Genomic DNA, 6,499 nt, shown 5'->3' with positions numbered 1-6,499 from the left:
TATTCTAAAATAATTTCAGATTGATAGAGCAGTGCTAAGCTCTTACATAAAGTTTTATATATCCTTCAATTTCCTGTAATATTAATATCATACATAACCACAGAATATCTATGAAAACTCAGAAATTGATAAAGGTACAAAACTATTAACTAAAGTATTGTCTGTCTTCATATTTTACCAGGTTTTCCACTAATTCCATTTTTCTGTTTTTGGATCTAATTCAGAATAACATATTACATTTATCATCAAGTGTATTATTGTTTATTGAAGCATAGCCTATTACCATGTAGCTTAGTGGCTCAAAAGCAGCACACATTACTCATAGTTTCTCCGGGTCAGGAATCCAGATGTAGATGATGGCCTGAGCTGAAGGATCAGCTGGAGAGGGATCATCTTCCAAGCTCACATGACTGCTCAGCTCAAGAAGACTTCGACAGTGAATTATTCCAAACCTTTAAAATATCAATAGCAATTCTTCACTAACTGTTCTCCACGAAAATATAAACCACAGAGAAGAGATCAGTGTGCAGTGCATTCTATGAAGCCGTTTCCTCTGATGCCACAACCAGAAAAAGACAGTCCAAAAAAGGAAAACTATAATATGCTTTATGGATACCCAGGCAATAATCCTAAATGAAATACTTTCAACATAAGTCAGGATCATGAAACAGGATTGTATAGTAATACCAAGGGTATTTATTTACTGAGGATCACAAATTTGGTAAAGCATATAAAAGAATTAGTGTAATACACTACATTAAAAAAAACACTATATGATGAAAGCCTCATCACGTCTAAAGATGCAGAATAAGCACTTGACAAATCCAAGTCCAACACCCACTCACAGTAAAAATACTCATTAAGTTTTGCATAGAAGGGAATGTTCTTTATCTAAAAAGGGCATCTATGAAACTCTCACATAACACCACAAGGTATCAAGTAAGTTTCAGTAATTTCCCCAAGATTAGAAACACAAAACGGTTATTGACTCCTGCGAATTCTATTAAACATTATGCCTGAGGATGTAATTGAGAAAATTAGGCTAGGAAAATAATATAAGTCTTCCAGATTGAAAAGGAAGAAGTCAAACTATCTCTATTGGCCAGTCACATAATCTAGTGTATGGAAAATCTTAAGGAATCCACTAAAATAAGGTTGAAATAACAACAAAAACAAAAAGTTCAGTAATGCATTAGCATGCAAGATCAGTGTAAAAAATTGTGGTCTAACACAATACAAATGAATCAAAAAATAAAACTCAGAAAATGATTTCATTTAATATAGCACCAGAAAGGAAATACATTTGAAAATAAATTTAACATAACAACTGCAAGATATATACAGTGAAAATTTAAAAAGATATTGAAGTATTAAAGAAATTCTAAATAAAAAATAAATTTAACATTACAACTGTAAGATATATACACTGAAAATTTAAAGAGACATTGAAGTATTAAGGAAATCCTAAATAAAGAAATAAATTTAACATAACAACTGCAAGATTTATACACTGAAAATTTAAAAAGATATTGTATTAAAGAAAGAAATCCTAAATAAATGAAAAAACATTAGATTTTCATTGATCAGAATGCTATTAAGTATTAACCAAGATGCTAATACTTTCCAAATGTATCTGCAGATTCAATATAGTCCCTGCGGAAATTCTAGCTCGCACTTTTTCTTTATTTTCTGAAATAATTGGATCACTGATTTAAAAATGCATAGGAAAATGCAATTGATCCAGGACAGCCAAAAGAACATTAAAAATTGTTTAAGAAATACAAATGGTATTTACAAGAGTTCTGCCCTTACAGAGATGGAGGATAATTCTCTACTTCTTAAGTATGTGCTTTTCATAGTGACTTTTTTCAAACAAGTACATCATGAAGAGGGAGAAGAATCATTACTTTTGTAGTAGAGAAAACCAAACTGAACTACTTCATCCAGATAATAAAACTAACATTAGCAGTGATAAAGTGGCTGGGTCACTGTAATCCCAGCACCTTGGGAGGCCAAGGTGAAAGAAATATTTGAAGCCAGGACTTGGAAACCAGGCTGGGAAATAGGGACATTATATCTCTACAAAAAAATAAAAATGTATTAGCCATGTGTGGTGGCACATGCCTGTAGTCCCAGCTACTTGGGAGGCTGAGGCAGGAGGCGGAGGTTGCAGTGAGCCGAGATTGCGCCACTGCACTCCAGCCTGGGCAACAGAGAGAGACTGTGTGGAAAGGAAGAAGGAAGGAAGGAAGGGAGGGAGGGAGGGAAAGAAGAGAGAGAGAGAGAGACAGAGAGAGAGAGACAGAGAGAGAGAGACAGAGGGAGAGAGAGAGAGAGAGAGAGAGAGAGAGAAAGAAAGAAGTAAGTGATACTGCATGCCCATAATATATAACCCTGTTATAATTTCATGAGAATAAAACTTTCCTTTAGTGGTCTTCCTCCACAAACCCCAGAACAGCCATCTAATCATGAGTGAAACATCAGATGAATCCCAAAGGAGGGATTTCAATGACATTAGAAACAAGAAAAATCTGAGAAACTGGCACGCCCAAAAGGAGTACACAATACCTAAATGTGTGGTGTCCTGAACACAATCCTGGAACAGAATATGTATATTACGTGAAAAAAGGACATCTGATTAATCGTGGATGTTAATGAATTATAATATACAATATTGATTCGTTAATTGTGACAAATGTCCCATACTAATGTAAGAATTAAATAAAAGAGAAACTGTGTGTTGGGTATAAATAAACTCACTGTATTTATTTCTAACCATTCTGAAAATCCAAAACTATTCTAAAATAGATTTTTTTAAAGTACACCATTGAGTTTAATAAGTAGAAGATTATCAATATTGTTGCGTCCCATGTATGCATCTCCCATTTCCATCCTCTTCTTTTTATTTTATCCCAGTGAAGGTTACTATTATTTTAATTTTTCATTTTGCCATTCACAAATTGTTCTTTTTAAGTTTTTTTCTCTAACTTTGCATTTGCAAATAATATCTTGTTCGGTGTTTCTTGTTTCACAAGTAGATAATAATGTGTTTCTGTCTGTCTATACTGCTCAACAAAATTATGAGAAAACTTCAGAGAAATCCAGACTGTGATACATTGTACAAAATATGTGACCTGTTCTCACAAAGGCCAAGGTCAGCAAAAGAAGTGAAGATTGAGCGACTGTTACAGATTGGGCAGGACCTAATGTTGGAGGCAGGCTCTAAGATGGTGCGCAGTGATCCTCACGACTTGGTGTACACAACCTGGCATGCTAATCCTTTCCTTGTGAATTTAGGGAGAACCTGAGACTTGCTTTGAGTCAAACGAATACTACAGTGTGATGGATGTCACTTGGATGATCATATTACATAAGACTGTGACTTCTGTCTTGCTGCAAAACCTCTCCCTTGGTGGCTCTGATGGCACATTCTGTCGTGAGGGAGAAGCCAGCATGGGAAGGAACTGAATGCAGCCTCAGGCCAACAGGCAGCAAGGAACTGATGCCCTTGCTTCAGTAGCTTTCCCTGGTGGTTGCAATTTACAGTTGGCACTAATCTAAGCCCCTTTCATTTAGGAGTATATCACTTCAGAATTAGAGTGACAACCTTGTATTAACAGAATACTCCTAATTATTTCCTCCTTTTTCTTGTATTTTTTCTTTTGTCCCTTGTATCTTTCCTTTCATTTCACTTACATGTAAAAAGACTTGTGCATATATGCATGTATATGTATATACATATGTGTATATGTACCTTATGCATATATAATCATATACGTATTTGGTATTTTTATTTTAAACAAGCTGTTATGGCCGGGCATGGTGGCTTACGCCTGTAATCAGATCCCAGCACTTTGGGAGGCCGAGGCGGGCAGATCACGAGGTCAAGAGATCCAGACCATCCTGGCTAACACGGTGAAACCCCATCTCTACTAAAAATACAAAAAATTAGCCAGGCATGGTGGCGGGCGCCTGTAGTCCCAGCTACTCTGGAGGCTGAGGCAGGAGAATGGCGTTAACTCGGGAGGCGGAGTTTGCAGTGAGCCGAGATCGCACCACTGGACTCCAGCCTGGGTGACAGAGTGAGACTCTGTCTCAAAAAAAAAAAAAGAAAAACAAGAAAAAACAAGTGTTATATGTAAGATCAATTAAGAATATACAAAATAAAAGTTTTTATTACCTTGGGTAACCAATAAAATAGTATAAAAGAAATATGTCCTACATGCTAAGAAAGAAAAGATGAAATCATATGAAATGCTGAATGAAAACCACAAAAGGAAGAAAATGACTGGATGACATTTAAAAATAGAAACAAAGGCAGTGCAAGAACTAGAAGATAGTAACAAATACAGTGGATATGATTCCAACTGTATCAATAATCACTTTGAATGTCAGGGTTCTTAAGGTACCAGTTAAAAAACACAGATAGAGTAGATGTAAAAATAAGGCCCACCTACATAAGAAAACTAATTTAAATATAAAGACACATGGATTAACAACGAAGAGATAGAATAAACATAACATACTCCATTAATCAAAGAAAACAAGTGTACATATATTAATTTCCAACAGAGCAGACTTTAAAGCAAATAAAATGATGAAGAAAAAAGACAGGCATAAGTTAAGGATAAAAGGGGTGATTCTCTAAGAAAATATAACTGTCCTCAATAGGTATAAGCCTAAAAATAGTGTGTTAAATTAGGTGATGGGGGAATCTAAGGAAGAAAGAGATGAGTCCACTATTATCGTTGGAGACATCAACACTCTCTATCAAGAATCAACACATACAACAGGTAAAATACAAGCAAGGGCATATTATCACTCAACTATACAATCAGTCAACTCAATATAACTTATATCTTTAAACTACTAACTCCAACAATGTGAATAATATACATATTTCCCCAGCCCATAAGGATGCCTCTGCAAGACTGGCAAGACTGACCATATTATAGGACTTAGAACACCACTTATTAAATTTAAAAGAATAGGACTCACACAATGATTGCTCTCAGACCAAGAGAAAATTAATCTAGAAGTAAGTAACAGAAAGGTAACTGAAATATCCCCAAATACATGGAGATTAAACAACACACTTCGATACACAACATGGCCCAAAGAAGATATCTCAAGATTTATTAAAAATATTTTGACCCAAATAGCAATGAAAAAAACTTAACGAAATTAATGGATGTAACAAGTAGAGTTTAAATGAGATTCTATTGAATACATATGTTTGAAAGAAAGACCAAATTTCATCATCTAAGTTTCCACCATAGGAAAGTAGAACAAGAGAAAATCAAATGGAAAATAAGCAGCAAAAAAGACATACTATTGCAAGGTAAGTAAAAGCAAAGTAAAAGATAAAGCAACAAGATTGTTTAAAAGAATATTGATAGCTTAATAGTTTCCAGAACATAGAAGTATCCAAAATTAATAAAGAAAACACAATAGCCCTCACACAATGCTTGCTTGCAGATGTGACTGTCCCTTAAAAAGAGCAGATACTTTGAAGCATGATCAATAAAGGCATATTAAGTGAAGTAATTTTATTTACTAAGTTTTAAAAGCATAAATGTAAACAATCCACCCCTAAATATTCAGGTTGATAACAATTACTATAAATATGAAAGGGGACTGGACACAGTGACTCATGCCTGTAATCCCAACAGTTTGGGAGGCCAAGGTGGGCAGATCACCTGAGGTCAAGAATTTGAGACCAACCTGGCCAACATGGTGAAACCTGATCTCTACTAAAAATACAAAAATTAGCTGGGCATGGTGGCAGGTGCCTGTAATCCCAGCTACTCAGGAGGCTGAGGTGGGAGAATCCTTTGAACCCAGAAGGTGGATGTTGCAGTGAGCCGAGATTGTACCATTGCACTCCAGCCTGGGCAACAAGAGAGAAACTGTCTCGAAAAAAAAAATATATATGTGTGTGTGTGTGTGTGTGTGTGTGTGTGTGTGTGTGTGTATATGTGTGTGTGTATATACATATGTGTGTATATGTGTGTATATATGTGTATATGTGTGTGTATATGTGTATATATGTGTGTATATATATACACACACACACAAACATATACACACACATATATATTCCCATATATACATATATATGGGAATAAATTCATATATATCACATGTTAGAATCTCAGAGACATGAGGACATCATGAAGTTTGTATGAGAATATCAAAGAACATGTAAGAGAACATGCAGAGACAGGCATGTGAACATGTGTATGTCCAGGGGGAAAAGTTGCCTCTGGATCATTACTAGTCCCTCCGTGATCTGCCCTTCCTGCTCCTGCCTCCTCATTACTGATCCCAGTGGTCCTTCCAATCCACCACCCTTTTCTCATGGCCTGGCCTGTGCCACAAACACATGTTTTTCTCTTCCCTTTCCCTCCCCTGTCTGCTAGACACACTGCACCTCACTCTCAAGCATCTCCTCCAACGATCCTCCTCCTGGAGGCCCCCCTTGTCCCTCCCATCCTAG

The 6,499-nt window shown here is 36.0% G+C and overlaps 1 long non-coding RNA gene across 1 annotated transcript in view; it reads right to left on the bottom strand.

Annotated features, from left to right (window-relative positions):
• The window catches only part of PWRN1 (Prader-Willi region non-protein coding RNA 1), a 29,624-nt gene continuing 23,363 nt past the window's right edge, over positions 239 to 6,499 (bottom strand). Inside the window, exon 9 of the long non-coding RNA NR_026646.1 lies at positions 239 to 452. This is a non-coding gene — a long non-coding RNA (Prader-Willi region non-protein coding RNA 1). The remainder of the gene's footprint in view (positions 453 to 6,499) is intronic.

This window comes from Homo sapiens, chromosome 15 (genome assembly GCF_000001405.40).
Source record: "Homo sapiens chromosome 15, GRCh38.p14 Primary Assembly".
NCBI classification, from domain to species: Eukaryota; Metazoa; Chordata; class Mammalia; order Primates; family Hominidae; genus Homo; species Homo sapiens.
This window is presented reverse-complemented; position numbering and strand designations above follow the sequence as displayed.